Source organism: Homo sapiens, chromosome 7 (assembly GCF_000001405.40).
Source record: "Homo sapiens chromosome 7, GRCh38.p14 Primary Assembly".
In the NCBI taxonomy this organism is placed as follows: Eukaryota; Metazoa; Chordata; class Mammalia; order Primates; family Hominidae; genus Homo; species Homo sapiens.
The window spans coordinates 132,746,397-132,761,663 of NC_000007.14; the positions used below are offsets into that span (position 1 = coordinate 132,746,397).

Consider the following 15,267-nt stretch of genomic DNA (forward strand, 5'->3'; position numbering starts at 1 on the left):
ATTTAATAAAATGTTTAAATGAATGGGAGAATGAACACATGAATTCAAGTTGGGATATCTCTACTACCAGGGAACCAACTATTCCACAAGGCAGCTAACTACATGGCTATAGTTGCTTAAAAGTTCTCTCTCATATTGAGTTGAAATCTGCCAATGGTAGATTTTACACTAATGGTCCCCAATGAATCACATCTGTGGAATCCATACCCTTCTGTTGTCTGCAACCTTGACCCAGGGCTTGCCCATAAAAGTCACTGTAGCTAATGGGACAAACGTAATGCAAGCGGAGGCTTGATAAGTCCTGTTTTGGGGGCTTACACTCTTGGCTCACAGCCATCACCATTCAAGGAAGCCCAAATTTTCCTCCTGGAGGATGAAAGGCCTCATGGTTCAAGGGACTCAGCTGAGCCCAGAGCCTTGCCAATCACAATGGGAATATAGTCATGTCAGCCCAGGAAAAACAAAACCAGCAGAAGAACCACCTAGCCAACCCACGAAATTGTGAGAAATAATAAATTGTTGTTTTAAACCACTCCATTTCCAAGGTGGTTCGTTACCGAGAAATAGATAACTGAAACACTTCTCCCTTATCTTCTATACTTGATTTGTAAAAGCAAGTATGAGCCCTCTTCCATGTGACAAGCTTCAAATGGCTGAAGACAGATCTCTCCCTCCTGGGTCTTCTCCAAGCTGAACACCTTTCATTCTTCAATAGATTTTTACTATTGAAAAATTTCTCCAAAGGTGCTCTGGTTTACCCTTCTCTTTTACAAGCACAGGGCTCAGCATAGTAACATACTCATCATGTTCCAGCACGGTGACCCTTAGGGACACTGTAATTCCACTGCTCCAGATGCTCTGCTTCTTCCAGGAGCCCAAGCCAGGGTCCACGTGGCCTTTCTGACATCCTCATTGTGCAGTGGTTCATATTGCATGAAGGGCCATAAATCCAAGGCCTTTTCTCATGAACTGCGTGAAGTCACATCTTTCAAATCCTGCACATAAAAACTTTACCATTTAAACCTACACGTGCTAAGTGCTAAGTGCGATGGTGCGCCTATAATCCCAACACTTTGGGAGGCCATGGCAGGAGAATTGCTTGAGCCTAGGAGTTCAAGACAAGCCCTGGCAACATAGCAAGACCTCATCTCTACAAAAAATTTAAAAATTAGCCACACATGGTGGCATGTGCCTGTGGTCCCTGCTACTCCGGAAGCTGAGGTGGGAAGATCACTTGAGCCTGGGAGATGCAGGCTGCAGTGAGCCATTGTCACACCACTGCATTCCAGCCTGAGCAATAGAATGAGACCCTGCCTCAAAACAAAAAAACAAGCGAACAAACAAACAAGTGAGTTCCCACTAAATTGATCATAATGGTTAGGAACTTTCTAAGCCAAAATTCTAAATATAGCAATGTTTTCTCCTAACTTTCCTGATCACACTCTTCTAGCAAAATCTGTTCCTTCCAGCTGTTGCCACTTTTCCTCCATTGTCTCCTAGCCCACCATATTAGTCTCCTCAGTCTGCCATAAAAAGTACCACAGACTGGGTGGCTTAAACAGCAAACATTTATTGTCTCACAGTTCTGAAGGCTGCAAGTTCCAGGTCGAGGTGCCAGCACATTCAATTTCTGGTGAGGACTCTCTTCCCGGCTTGCAGACAGCCACCTTCTCTCTGTGTCTTCACATGGCCTTTCCTTCACATGCATAGGTGGCAGTGGGAGCAGCACGCAAAGCCCTCATCTCCAAATATCATCACGTGGAAATCAGGGCTTCAACCCATAAATTCTGGGGGATACAATTTTCAATCCATAATACCTACTATAATCAGCCTTTCAATTGGACCACTCAACTGAAACTGCCATCAATGACCTCCCATGATGACATGAGAGAATGACAGAATGACAGAGTTGGTCATTCCCTCCTCCTGGGTCAAGGTTGCAGACAACAGAAGGGTATGGATTCCACAGATGTGATTCATTGGGGACCATTAGTGTAAAATCTACCATTGAGAGATTTCAACTCAATGTGAGAGAGAACTCTTGCTTTCTTTCATTGTCTTCAGAGGAAGCCCCCTCTCGGTTTCCTCCTGTTCCATTGGCCATTCCTTCCCACTCTTTGCTGGGTCCTTGGACTTCCTCCCTTCTTTACCTACCCCCACTCTCTAAAGTCATCTGAACAGCTTCCAACATGATTTCTCAAGTCCTAACTTCTCCCCAGAATTTCAGACTCATAGATCAAATTGCCTACTAAATATCCTCATAGCACAATGAATGGACTCATTTAAACCTATTTAAATAGAACTCTTGGTTTTCCACCACGCCCCCCCCAGACTACTCCCCATCTCAATAAATAACGGCTCTATTCCCAATGTTCCTGATTGCTTAGTCCAGAATTCTTAGAATCACTGACCCCCCTGTCCATTCCGTATCTGATTCTATAACAGATTCTTGCAACTCTACCTGCAAAGTATCACCAGAATCCTACTATTTTCACTATCTCTATCACTCAGCTAGTCTAAAACACCACAGTCCTAATCTAGATTATTAGAATAACTGCCTAACTGGTCTCTCAGCTTTTGCCCTTGACCCTCACTGTAGCCTCCTCTGCAGGTGGCAGCCAGAGTCATCACATGAGACACAGTCGATCACCCCTCTCAAAACCGGCCAGTGGCATCCTATGTCACTCAGAGTAAAATCCCAAATCATGACCATGGCCAGAACGCTCTGCACGATCTAGCTTTAGCTGCCTCCCTGCCCTCACCTCCCATCATTCTTGCCCTCACTCACTCCACCCCAGCCACACATGGCTTCCTTGCTGCTGCACAAATATTCCCAGCATACTCCTGTCTCAGAGACTTTGCATCTGCTGTTCTCACTGCCCGAAAACACCCATCTCCTGAATCTCAGTAGATGCTCCCCTTCATTTTATATAGGTGTCCTCTCACAGACCACCTTCTTGGAGAGGCCACCTTTCTGCAGTCAGGTTGGCTCTCCATAACACTTACCCCTCCGGACACATGGGTCTGTCTCCCCCACTAGCATACAAGCTTTCTATTTGTTTCCTTCCCTGCTGCATGCCCAGTGCTAGAACCAAGCCCAGCTCAGCCTAGGTGTTCAACATTAGTTGAATAAATAAGTTCATTATCCCTCTTAGCCTTGGCCCATCTGCAAATTGATCATGCATGTCAATGATATGTGTCCAAGAAACTGATGTTTTCATGTGGTCAAAAGATACAATCAAAAATAAACTCTGTGTTAGGAGCAGTGGTGAACACAGCCTTAGAGATAAATAATCCTAGGTGCAGACTGTGGAGCACCCTAAATGACCAGCCAGAATCTGAATTTTCTCCCCACAAAGACAACAGCCATTAAAGCTTTCTGTTTGTAAAATGATAGGAACTGTCTCATAAATAACTTTCATTGGGAACATTTTTAAAAAATATTACTTAGATCAATTTGGAAGCAACTTGACATTTTCTTTTTTCATTAATTGGCTTTGAGAACATGTTGACAAGTATGGTTCATTTTGAATGGTCCCAAGTAATTCTCTGGACCAGGGCCGGGACCACCAGGTCACTTGCAAACAAATGCACGTGGCTGTGAATAAATAGATTTATGCATCTGGGTCTTCTGACCACGTTTTATACCCATAGCACATGAATTTCTTATGTAACACCTGTGCACAACTATATATAGCATACACAGAATCTTGTTTTCATATCTTACGTATAGGCTCTTGCCAGAACTTTCTTCCAAGCAAGGGAGTCTGAGAAAAAAAAGCCGAAGGAACAGAGTAGAAGAGGATGAACCAATCTGGCATCAGCTTGGCCACGCAAACACCAAACTGTGATGAACTCACATGTGTACAAATACCCTGGCCCAACAGCTGCTTGCATTGACAGCTCCGTGGCAGCGGAGTGGCCGAGAGAATAGAAATCTTTTCAGCAGGAACAGGCTTGTGGTTGAAGAGTAAAGGGAGCAGTTGAGGCCATTCCGAGGATTTGTTCATGAATTTCAAGTGGATTACACTCCCCTCCAGCCATTGCAGACAGCAGCAGACAGGGTCTGCAAGGGGCTTCAGAGAAAAATGCAGAGAGCCCGCCCTGCACAGGAGACCTGCAGACCCCAGTGCTCAGGAACTGAAACCAAAATTGTTTCCTTACTGTAGCCAGGAAGTGTTGTTTACATGTAGTTTTTGCCTAATTAAATTGTACCTGTCTTTGCCTCTAATTTTCTTACCTCCTTTCCAAAGCATCAGCTAATCTTTTATCTCATGATTCAATCTCACTCTCCCTCCCTTCTCTCCCTCTCTCCACACACTCTCTTTCTTCCCCCTCTTCCCTTCTCTCCACTCCCTCCCACTTTCCCTCTCTCTTCTTCAGCTCCCTGGTTTCTCTGGGTAAGTCCCACGCTGACCTCCCCTCCCCTCATTTATCCATAGCTTATGCCGGAGCACAGATCTCTCTGCCCACTCCAGCAATTTCTTCCTATGCTACTGATGCATAAACACATGACTTACCACGTAAACAGTTTCTACGGAGGCTAACCACTCTGTTGATGTGCAGGCTGCAACAGCTGAGAAACCTTATGAATACTTACATACAAATAATGCACATCAGTGCTGACAAACACACAGGGGCCCAGAGGAAGGGAGCAGGTGGGCTTTAAGTTGGGCCTTGTAGACAGACTGCGAGGCACAGAGAAGCTGTTTCTTGGCCGCGGCATGCTTGCATGAGCTATATGGGGTCTTGGCGCTGGGTCTCTCCTCTGGAAGCCGTAGTGAGGCTGGAGGCTACGGGAGGATTTCTGGGAATGCGCTCAGATCTCCATGTAACTCCCAATATTTGTTCCTGTTCCCCTCCCATCAGAAAAGACCTCTAGGAGCAGCACGAGGCCAAAGGGGACAGGCAATGGGTCTGGAGCCTGCACATTTCAGGGGTTGCCATAGCAACCCCCTTCCCACACATCCCCCTGCCTCCTCACCAAATGTTTGTCTCAGAGGCACTTCCGAGGGATGGAGGTAAGCCCTCGGACCCTGCCTGGCCCCAGAATCCTGCCTACCATCCCTGCCCACACCAGTCCGGGCACAGCCAGGACCTGCCAAGAGGAAGGAGAGCACAAAGCTTCAGTTCCAGGCAGAGCTCATGAAATCAACTGGGATTTCCCCAGCTTCGCCGGCCTGAGCAATCTAAGCGGCACTGGGGAAAGGTCATGATATGAGGGATCTGTGATTTCGGGAATCTGGAAGGAACAGAAAGAGATAAAACCTACGCATTTTCCAACCTCTGCATTTTAAAGATAAAGAAACTGAGGCCCAGAAAAAAGAAGTAGGGGCAGAACACGAACAAAAACCTTATTTGTCCACAGTCTATTTTGGTTCTTAACTTTAAATAATTTATTTAAAAAGCTCAGTTACAGACTTTTTTTAAACTAAAGGGAATAGACTTAACTAGCTTTTTGGAGAGTACCAGGGGGTATGAACGCTAAATAGTTGCTAAAAAGACATCTGAACAGAGACTGTCCTTGATCTCTTCCTAGGCCAAAATTTAGGCTTCTAGGGGACCATTCGGGATTTTTTTTTTTTTAATTCCAGGTCACTGTTATATTACAGCCTATGTGAACTGGGAAAACTAATTTTCTCACCATCAGTGTATCTTTAAAATCACTGGTCAAGGAATAATAATCCTTTTATATTGGTAAAATTTGTTTTAATTATTCATACATTTCAGGGTGAAAACATTATTCTTCTAATTTCAACCCTTGGGCCCAAATATAGTTCCCCTGAGAATGAGTCATCTATGACATTATAGGTGATGAATGGATAACAGAAATTTGCCCCCTTCCCTCTCCAATCATGGGGCAGCTGAACTACAGAACTTATCTTCCTGGAAGAAGGCATTTTCCCAAGTGGAATACAAGTTATGGGGGAATGAGGGGAGTCTTCAGGTTCATGGATGTAACATTTTCCATGCTGTGTTCTTCCTCACTCGTAAAAGTTTGATTTTTAGCATTTGGCATTAAAAAAATCAATCCTGCCTAATGATACCCCTCATTCCTAATCTTTCTTTCCTTTCTTTGGTGAAAATCTTTGTGGAGTATCAGTTCACATTTTTCATTAGCATTTCTTCTGGGTTTCCTTAGATTTTACAAGTGGTTAAGCAATTAGCATACTTCTTAAACCTTTAAGCAAATAAATGCTTAGAATAACACAATGTGTAGTCACTACCACAGTGACAATGAAGCCAACTATATTATTTTCATCGGCTCATGGGAAGTGTGTACAATCAGTGTCTACAATGAGCATGTGAAAACTTAGAGCTTACATTTTACAATATGAAAAGCACCTTCCAAACATTTGCTCATTGTACCATAATCTTCTCAAGATTGGCTACACCGAGCAACTCAAACAGGTCTGTGTCTCAGTCATATTATGGCCTTAGTCCTTACCAATGCCTGGTACCTCACAAATGTCTTCTCGACTTTGTGAAGGGAATGGTGGCTTTCCGTGAACTATTCAGCAGAGATTCAAACTTAGAGGTTACAAAGTAGCTGGTAAGTGTCAGAGTGAGACACAATGCCAAGGCTGTGGCTACTGGCAGATCATGACCTTGCTTTGAAAAGGGGGTGCTGGAGTGATGAAAAAGTATCTTCAGGTGTGGCTGTGGCCACCTTGGCCACCTGTGTGTCACTTGCCAATGCAAGGACTTGTCATAGTTACACTGACTGTTAAAAAGAAACAAAGGAACAAAAAGGGAGGCGGGGTCAATTCTGGGAGCTCTTTTGGGGTAGGAACAGTAGGAAAAATAGAAAATGTGGTTGCTTTAAAAAAAAAATTCTGTGCCATTGTGGTTTCTCCATGGAGGCTCTTTAATTTGTATGTATTAATTGTGTAATATAATCCTCCTTGTGGAACCCCGTATCTTTTTTTAATTTTTTTGGAGACAGGGTCTTACCTGTCACCCAAGCTGGAATGCAGTGGGGTGATCCCGGCTCGCTGCCACCTTGACTTCCTGGGTTCAAGCTATCCTCCTACCTCAACCCCCCAAGTAGCTGGAACTACAGGCACATGTCACCACCCCTGGCTAATTTTTGTATTTTTTGTCCAGACAGGGTTTTGCCACATTGCCCAGGCTGGTCTCAAACTCCTGAGCCCAAGTAATCTGCCAACCTCAGCCTCCCAAAGAGGGAACCCCATATCTTCTTTTTAGCTATATATTTTATAAATGTCTAGAGTGTACAACTTTCCTGTGTATTTTTAAAGTTTGATGATATGAGGGTCATTACCTATGGTAAATGGCCTATTTTGGTACCTCCTGTGCAGTTTTATAATTCTGCTGATTATGATAGCATCTTATGTTGAGTCAACCACAATAAAGATAGTTGCAGGGGGAAAAAGAGAGTCACAAGGAGTTTAAGTGTTCCAGTTGGGGAATCTTTGGGATCATCTACAAGATAGAGCATAGTACCATGAGAAGATGAAGACAGAGCCACCTCAGAGCCAGCCTCAGCACTGTGGATTCCTAATGCTGCCACCTTTTTGTTGTTGCTGTGGGCATTAAGTAAAAGAGTGTGATGGTGGATTTCATGTGTCAACCTGCCTAGGCTATGGTGCCCAGCCGTTTGGTCAAACACCACTCTGAATGTTGCTGTGAATTTTTATGATTTTTAAATAATTTTCTAGATGTGATTAAATTTAATTCAGTAGACTTTGACCAAAAACAGATTTCCCTCCATTCAACTGATTTGGGGAGCCCCCTCCAATCAGTTGAAGGCCTTAGTAGCAAAGACTGAGGTTTCTTGAAGAAGGAGAAATTTTGCCTCAAGGATGCAACAAAGTTGGGCCAGGCACAGTGGCTCATGACTATAATCCCAGCACTTCAGAGGCGGAGACGGGAAGACTGCTGGAGGCCAGGACATCAGCAGGGGCAACATAGCAAGACCTCATGTCTACAAAAATTTTTTTAAAAAAATTAGTTGTATGTGAGCACCTGTGGTCCCAGCTATTAGAGAGGCTGAGGCAGAAGGATCTCTTGAACCTGGGAGGTCTAGGCTGCAGTGAGCCACAATTGCGCCACTACACTCCAACCTGGGTGACAGAGCAAGACCCTGTCTCAAGGAAAAAAAAAATGCGATAAAATTATGTTTGTTTATCTGGAAAACCCTGATTATTCCATTAAGTCAAGCCCCAGCATGCCTTTGGCAGAGAAGGTACCCAATTGTACATTCTCTTCCATGATCCTCCTTGAATCTATCTCCATAGCCCCATCAACTATATGGGCTCCCACATTCAAGGCACCAAATGAGGAGACCCACAATATCATTAACCTCCCCAAGGTCATGACCAGTTTGCAGCAATACTAGGATCAAAATCCCAGGCTTCTGACTCATCTTCTGTTCCTTCTCTGGCTCCCTGTTACCAACCCATCTTTCCACCCCTATTCCACCCAGATGCTGTGCCCATTTCACCATGGAAATCAGAGTCCTCCCTCAAACAAGAACCTACTACGGTCATCATAACTTGCATATTTCACTTAGGATTTCCCTTCATCCTGGCAGCAGTGAGTGCTTCCGCCAGAGCCCAGCTTTCTCAGGTAGTCACCACACTGGAGGCTCCCAAGGCCCATCACATGGGGAGCTTCTGTGACGCCTGCTGCTAAAAGCCTGTGTTCCAAGAACTGTTTCCTAGATTCTCATGTTCAATCTAGTTTCTCTGTCTATGGTCAGTTAGCTTCGGCACATAAGCCAGCATTTAAAAGGCGTTCAGGTGGTAAATGATTCTACCCACCTGTGTAATTGAAGAAACAGTCATCTCAGTCATCCGCAAGATCACCCTCAATTCTGACGCCAACTGTAAGGTTTGACGGGTTCTCAAGACTACCCATAGGTTTGATAATTTACTAGACAGACTCATGGAACTCACTAAAAGCTGTTATACTCACAATTATGGTTTATTACAGCTACAGGATACAGATTAAAATTAGCCAAGGGAAGATGCACAAGGCATGAGGACTCTTCCAGCCCCAGCTTATCATCTGCCCAGGTCCTCCAGCAAATTCCCTTTCTCCACAAGGAACAGGGCACATGGCCAGGGTCCTTCTCAGCTCTCTTCCCTCCATCTCCCATCTTGCTAAGACAGGACCTGTCCCAAGTCTCGCCCTCCCAGGGTCCTGGTAGGGAAGTAGCAAATTCACTTTGTAGAAGGAACTAAGGCATTACAACTAATAACATTGCCAGATGGCATTTGCCCTTTAACAAGGCTCCGAGACCTGACCTCAAAAGAGACCAGTGGCAGAAGAGATGCTTCTGCTTTCATAGGGAGTTACCTGGTGCCAACCCCACCCACAGAAGCAAAGAGAAGGAACTAAGGCGTTACAACAAATAATGTTGCCAGATGGCATTTGCCCTTTAACAAGGCTCCAAGACCTGACCTCGAAAGAGACCAGTGGCAGAAGAGATGCTTCTGCTTTCACAGGGAGTTACCAGGTGCCAACCCTGCCCACAGAAGAAAAGAGACCCCAAGAAATTGGCCAGCCCAACAGCTTTATGCCATCTGAACCCTGCAAAAGTCACAGAGATGTAAAACAAGCTGAAGAGATTCCATAAGTCACCTGGGGGGGTGCCATGCTCCAGACATTGCAGAGTCTGGTTCTAGAGGCCTGGAGAGGCCCATTGCCTCTGCTTCACCTCTGCCTTACCTTGCCTCAGCCATTTTCCCCAGTAGCAAAAGGGCCCTTCTGCCCTCTGCTCCCAAAGAACCTGCCTGAGCAGGCCCAGACCCTGTGTTCTCCAGCCCAGCATTACCCTGGGAAGTTCGATGGGGGAGGCAGGGACTTCATCTTTTTCATCTCCAAGTGCCACAGTGCCCTGTGGATAACAATGGCATCCACAGTGCTTAGTGGACAAGAATGGCATTGCCAGCTCCCCACAGCTGCACCAGCCCTGGCTCTGATCCCAGGCTGCAAAAAAAAAAAAAAAAAAAAAAAAAAAAAAAGGCAGGCAGGCCACTAGCACTCACTTATTTCCCAAGGATTAGGTCAGCCCCACACACAGTGTCTTCCAGACACTGGGAGAGGCCAGGTGCAGACCGCCAGAGATTCAGTGTAAAGCCTGCCAATCGGCCAATACCAGATGTTCAAGATGAAAATCTCATCTTCCCAAATGCTGAAGGGGTCCAGTGGATCAGGGACACTTGTCCCCAGGGTGTCCTGGCAGCTGAACTCAGCACCTTCTCTCCCACCTGTTAGCCATGAGGGCAGAGACACCTAGTATCCAAGGGCCAGGAGACACAGCACAGGAGTGGAATGCACTCGACACAGACGATTACCTTTCAAACGCTCCTCCTTCAACATCAGAACAAAGACTAGCCCAGTGGCCCAGACTTCCCTTACCACTTCCTTTATTTAGGAGGCCATGAACCCAGTCCTTCTTCTCAGCCCTGCCTCTGGGTTCAGGAACCAAGGCTAGACCTGCTTGTAGCTAATATGTGCCATGTGGCTTTTCATCTCAACTTTGTCACTTATTGTCTGTGACCTTGAGCCTTTTAAACTCTCCTCTGCCGATTACTCCTCTCTGAAATGGGAGTAAACTAACTTCCCAGAGAAGTCCTGTGGAGGAGTGAGGTGACACATGCCAAGAAGAGACAGGAACACCTGGAGATGCAGCAAACACTATTTTTATTTCATACCTGAAAGCAACAGTCTCTCTATGGAGTCGGCTGTGTTGGCTTTTACGCCCATAATGTTTGTGGTCGGATCATGTCTGTATTTAAACTAAACACAGTATTTAAGCCACCAGAAATAAGAAAACAAAGAGGAGAAAATTCCATCACATAGGTTTTTTTTTTTACTTCAGTCTATTCATCCAGATGGTGATAATTAGTGGGCTCGCCTGTCTGCACCTGTCATTGTTTATGTACGCGTTCTACCTATAGGAATGTGCGGGGAACTTTCTAGACGCATGAAGAGTGATGCTGTGGAATCTGATACAGCCTACAGTTCTAGGATTCACCCTTGGTTCTTTTGCAGAGTCAAGAATAGTCTTGGTGCTAGAGGGACCAAGCCAGCAAAGATTTGCACTGCCAGCCAAGGGACTTATTTCCCTGCCTCCAACAGTTTTGCCGTCACTAAAGCTGCTACACATGCTGAGCTTAAATGCCTGCTTATAGCAAAAGCAGCCATGTCAGTCACTTAATGTTTCTTAAGAATCCCTGTCTTTGTCCATTTTGTTTTGCTATTAAAAGAAAAAAAAAAACCTGCCACTGGATAATTTATAAAGAAAAGAGGTTTATTTAGTTCAGGGTTCTGCAGGCTGAGAAGTTCAAGGGCATGGCCCTGGCTTCTGGCGAGGGCTTTCCTGCTGCATTGACACAGGGAGAAAGGTCAAAGGGGAAGTGAATATGTGCGGAGAGGGGGAATCCTGAGGGGTCTCCAGCTATATAACAACCCACTCTCATGGGAACAAATCCACTCCTGTAAGAACAGCTCACTACTGCCTGAACAGCACCACATCATTCATGCGAGATCCCTCCCCATGACCCAAACACCTCCTGCCAGGCCCCACCTCCCAACATCACCACACCGGGGATCAAATTTCAACTTGAGTTTTGGTGGGGACAAACAAACCACATCCAAACCACTGCAAATCCCATACATACCAGGGCTCCACTCCAGACCCACTGAATTGAATCCTTTGGGGATGGTGCCTGAAAAAAATATATTTTAAACACCCAAGGGGTTCTGACACTTGGTTGAGTTTGGGATCTTCTGGACTGGAAGGAACTCTCAGGCTTTGAGTGGAGACCTTGGATCTGTTCCAGGTTTTGCCAATAACTTTCTGTTGTCCCTGCGTGACTTTGGGCACGTCACTTTCCTGTGTACTGTCTCTAAGAATGTTGGATTCTGATAAGTCAATTCCCACTTGTGTCCCTGGAGCCCTAGGGTTTCCTCGGAGGCTCCAGAAGTTTCTAAGGGGTCAGTAGAATGAAGACAGTAGGTTGGGCTCTGGATTCCCTGCCTCGAGAGTTAATCCTAGGAGCTGCTAAAGGTCTATTTACAAAGCTTCACATGAAGCCAGATCAACATCTGGGAACATCTGCCTGGGATGCAGGACATGGGCAGCCCCAGAACTAGTTTCAGGTGGCTTACATGGGCATGGTTATTGCAGAAATCACATTTTAAAAGTGTTAATCTCATCAAGAGACTTGGACTGTGGCATCTTTATTTCTGTGAGTTGTGACTTTCTCGTCCTTGGAAGTAAGGAGTGAACTAGACTCCACAAACGAGTTTAACATTTTGCCCTTCTAATTGTCTACACCAAATCCATGCCTCCCTCCCCTGTGAGCAGACTTTGGTAGAATGTTCCTCATGCCTTCAACCAGGGTGAGCCAGACGAGCCCCGGGGAACACGATGCATGACCTTGGCCTTGTTACCATGTGCAATGTATTGAATTGCAGACCTCCAAAATTTATATATTGAAGCCCTAGTCCCAGTATGACTGTACTTGGAGAGCCTTTATGGAGGTGACTAAGGTTAAGTGAGGTCATAAAGGCGGAGTTCTAATTTAATAGGATTGGCGCCCTTATAAGAAGAGGAAGAGAGAGATCGCTTTCCACTGAAATGTACCGAGGAAAGGCTATGTGAGGACATAGCCCAGAAGAGGCCCTCACCAGAGCCCAGCTATGCTGGCACCCTGACCTCCTGCTCCAGCCTCCAGACTGTGAGGAAATACGTTTCCATGGTTGAAGCCACCCAGTCTATGGTATTTTGTTGTGGCTGCCTGAGCTAAGACACCATCACACAATGACCAGGGAGGCTCTTTGGCCGTGGTCAGCAGAGGCAGCTGTGCCACTGCCTGTGGGTGCCACGCCTGCCTCACAGCAGCAACTTCCTCATAAGAAAGTCTCTGCTGTTATTTAGATGTGTGTCTTGTCTCCCAGACTCAGATACAAGCCCATCAAGGCAGTGAGGTTGACATCTTTTTTTCTGACTTGTCTGCAAACCCGTCATGAGGTGGGCATTTTCAGATACTTTCCTGGATGAAGACTTGGAGACCCCGAAGTTAGCAGTTTGTGTTTGGCCCTAGGGCCTGGAGAGGAGGCCCCTGTGGCAAGCAGTGCCTCCAGTTTCTGGATCTGGGAATTGTGCTGTTTTCCTGGGGGCCTAGGCTCTGGCAACACTCGGCTCTGTTGAGTGGGGAGGGGAGCAAGCGGCCCTGGCTTCCTCTTTACTACTTGGGCCGTGCAGGCAAGCAGCAGCTCTTGTGGCCCGGCAGGGAGTGTCCTGGTGCAGTCCGCCTCCCAGTGCGAATGGGAGTGGGTCCCAGAGAGGGCTGGGGAGGGGCTGGGCACTGCAGAGCTGGCGCTTCTCTGCTCCTCACCAGGAGGTCCTGCGGCCAGGCTGTGATGTACCCAGCTGGAGAGGTGTGGGAATTCTGGGGCACTAAGCATAAGCCAAGTTGATAAAACACAATATTAGCAAGGTTACAATTTTGGGGTCTGTTCCTATACTAATCAACTCCTTTAAATCACTTGTCGAGAGCATTTATATTTAAGCACTTTCATAAGTAATATTTATTCTTCACAACCCTGGGAGGCAGATCTTATCCCTGGTTTATAGGCAGGGAAACGGCCTCAGCTGTGAGTAACCAAACTCACCGAGTTAATGGGGACACCTGCATTCCAGGCCACACCCAGCGTTCTATTTCATCCTAGATCTGCTTCCTAGAGATCAGTAACAGCCACAAGCTGCTCTCCACGCAGCCCCACGCCACACATGGTACCACGCCTCTGCTATTGGCTTTGGGTTGTGAAATGAACCATTTGGTGGCTCAATGTAAAAATGGGTTTCCCAAATGGAATTCCAAGGAACCCTAACTCCTAGAAAGATGCTAAAACATACTTCTTTCTTTTTGTTTTCATATAGGATTGTTGCACAGTCATGTTTGGGTAATGCCACGTACAGTCTTTCCTTCTTAGGCAATTATATTAGCAGTTAAAGGCTCTGAGAAGTTTTGCAATGAAGATGCTGTCATAAGTTTGTCTAATTCAGCATTTGACAACAGAACTGATTTTCCTAGCAACATTTTGGTCCAGAGAGAAGGTGATGCAAGATGCAGAAATGACTGAGAGTATGGTGAGCACTTGTTCACTACGCCAGAAATAAAAGATCATTGAAGTGAGATTGATTAAAACTACAATCAATAAAAGATCATTGAAGTGAAATTGATTAAAACTACAATCATTGTCAAATAACCACATTTAACTCCTCTCTTAAAACTTGTCACTTAAGACACTCTGTTAACTAAATCTCTTTAAAGTATTAAATCATGTCATTGTTCGTATGTAAATGTATTTCCATTTGTAGGATTAGCAGATAAAACACCAATTCTTATTTCTACTTAATCTCATATTCTGTATTCCCCAAATTTACAAAGATATCATTTATAAACTAATACAAAACAAATAATTTAAAATAATCTGCCATCCCACAGTTTAGATTTAATAAAAGAGTAGGCAGAGGAGGATGGAGCGAATGGAGGAGGGAGGCAGACTGTGGGAAAACCTCACTGTGTGGTCTACGGTGTGTAGCTGTAACCTGCAATGCAAGGGTTTTTTTGTTTGTTTGTTTTTGAGACGGAGTCTTGCTCTGTCACCCAGGCTGGAATGCAATGGTGTGATCTCGCCTCACTGTAACCTCCACCTCCCTCGTTCAGGCAATTATCCTGCCTCAGCCTCCTAAGTAGCCGGGATTACAGGCACGTGCCATTATACCTGGGGAATTTTTTTATTTTTAGAAGAGACAGGGTTTCACCATGTTGGTCAGGCTGGTCTTGAGCTCCTGAGCTCAGGCAATCCACTCACCTCTGCCTCCCAAAGTGCTGGGATTACAGGCGTGAGCCAAAGTGCCTGGCCCCAATGCAAGGTTTTTAAAACCGTGGGCTAAAGAGTGGTTGTTTAGGCGTAGAAGTGCTGGTTTTAGATAAGCAGATTTCTGGGTCAGAGACATGCCAAGACTGAGGCCCCAGATCTGACCTCCGTATGTCCCTGTATGGACATACATACTGACCCAGGGAGGACAGACACCAGGGAGATCGGAGAGGAGACATGAGAAAAAGCAGGACCCATCTTTAGAAACTTAGGTCCACAATGGGGATATAGGGAGAAGACTGCAATGTGATTGGACACTCTCTGCCACACCTCCAGAGTACACAGGGATTGGCTGGAAACAGAGAGAACATGGTGGTAGTGGTAATGGGAACGCATGTGTAC

The 15,267-nt window shown here is 45.6% G+C and overlaps 1 long non-coding RNA gene and 1 other non-coding gene across 2 annotated transcripts, besides 2 other annotated features; both read left to right on the forward strand.

Moving 5' to 3' along the window:
* Nucleotides 4,304–4,934: an enhancer, noted in NCBI's record as "H3K27ac-H3K4me1 hESC enhancer chr7:132435460-132436090 (GRCh37/hg19 assembly coordinates)". NCBI's record gives its function as "activates a minimal SCP1, AML or CMV promoter by ChIP-STARR-seq in naive H9 embryonic stem cells {active_cell/tissue: H9 hESC(naive)}" and the evidence as "EXISTENCE:reporter gene assay evidence [ECO:0000049][PMID:30033119]".
* Nucleotides 6,627–6,730, forward strand: LOC124900236 (small nucleolar RNA SNORD46). Its single transcript, XR_007060651.1, has one exon. It is a non-coding gene; the product is annotated as a small nucleolar RNA SNORD46 (small nucleolar RNA).
* Nucleotides 12,574–14,236, forward strand: LOC100506937 (uncharacterized). Its single transcript, NR_134332.1, has 2 exons — nucleotides 12,574–13,009; nucleotides 13,922–14,236. It is a non-coding gene; the product is annotated as an uncharacterized LOC100506937 (long non-coding RNA).
* Nucleotides 12,623–13,176: an enhancer, noted in NCBI's record as "H3K4me1 hESC enhancer chr7:132443779-132444332 (GRCh37/hg19 assembly coordinates)". NCBI's record gives its function as "activates a minimal SCP1, AML or CMV promoter by ChIP-STARR-seq in primed H9 embryonic stem cells {active_cell/tissue: H9 hESC(primed)}" and the evidence as "EXISTENCE:reporter gene assay evidence [ECO:0000049][PMID:30033119]".
* Nucleotides 14,237–15,267: the final 1,031 nt, after the last annotated feature.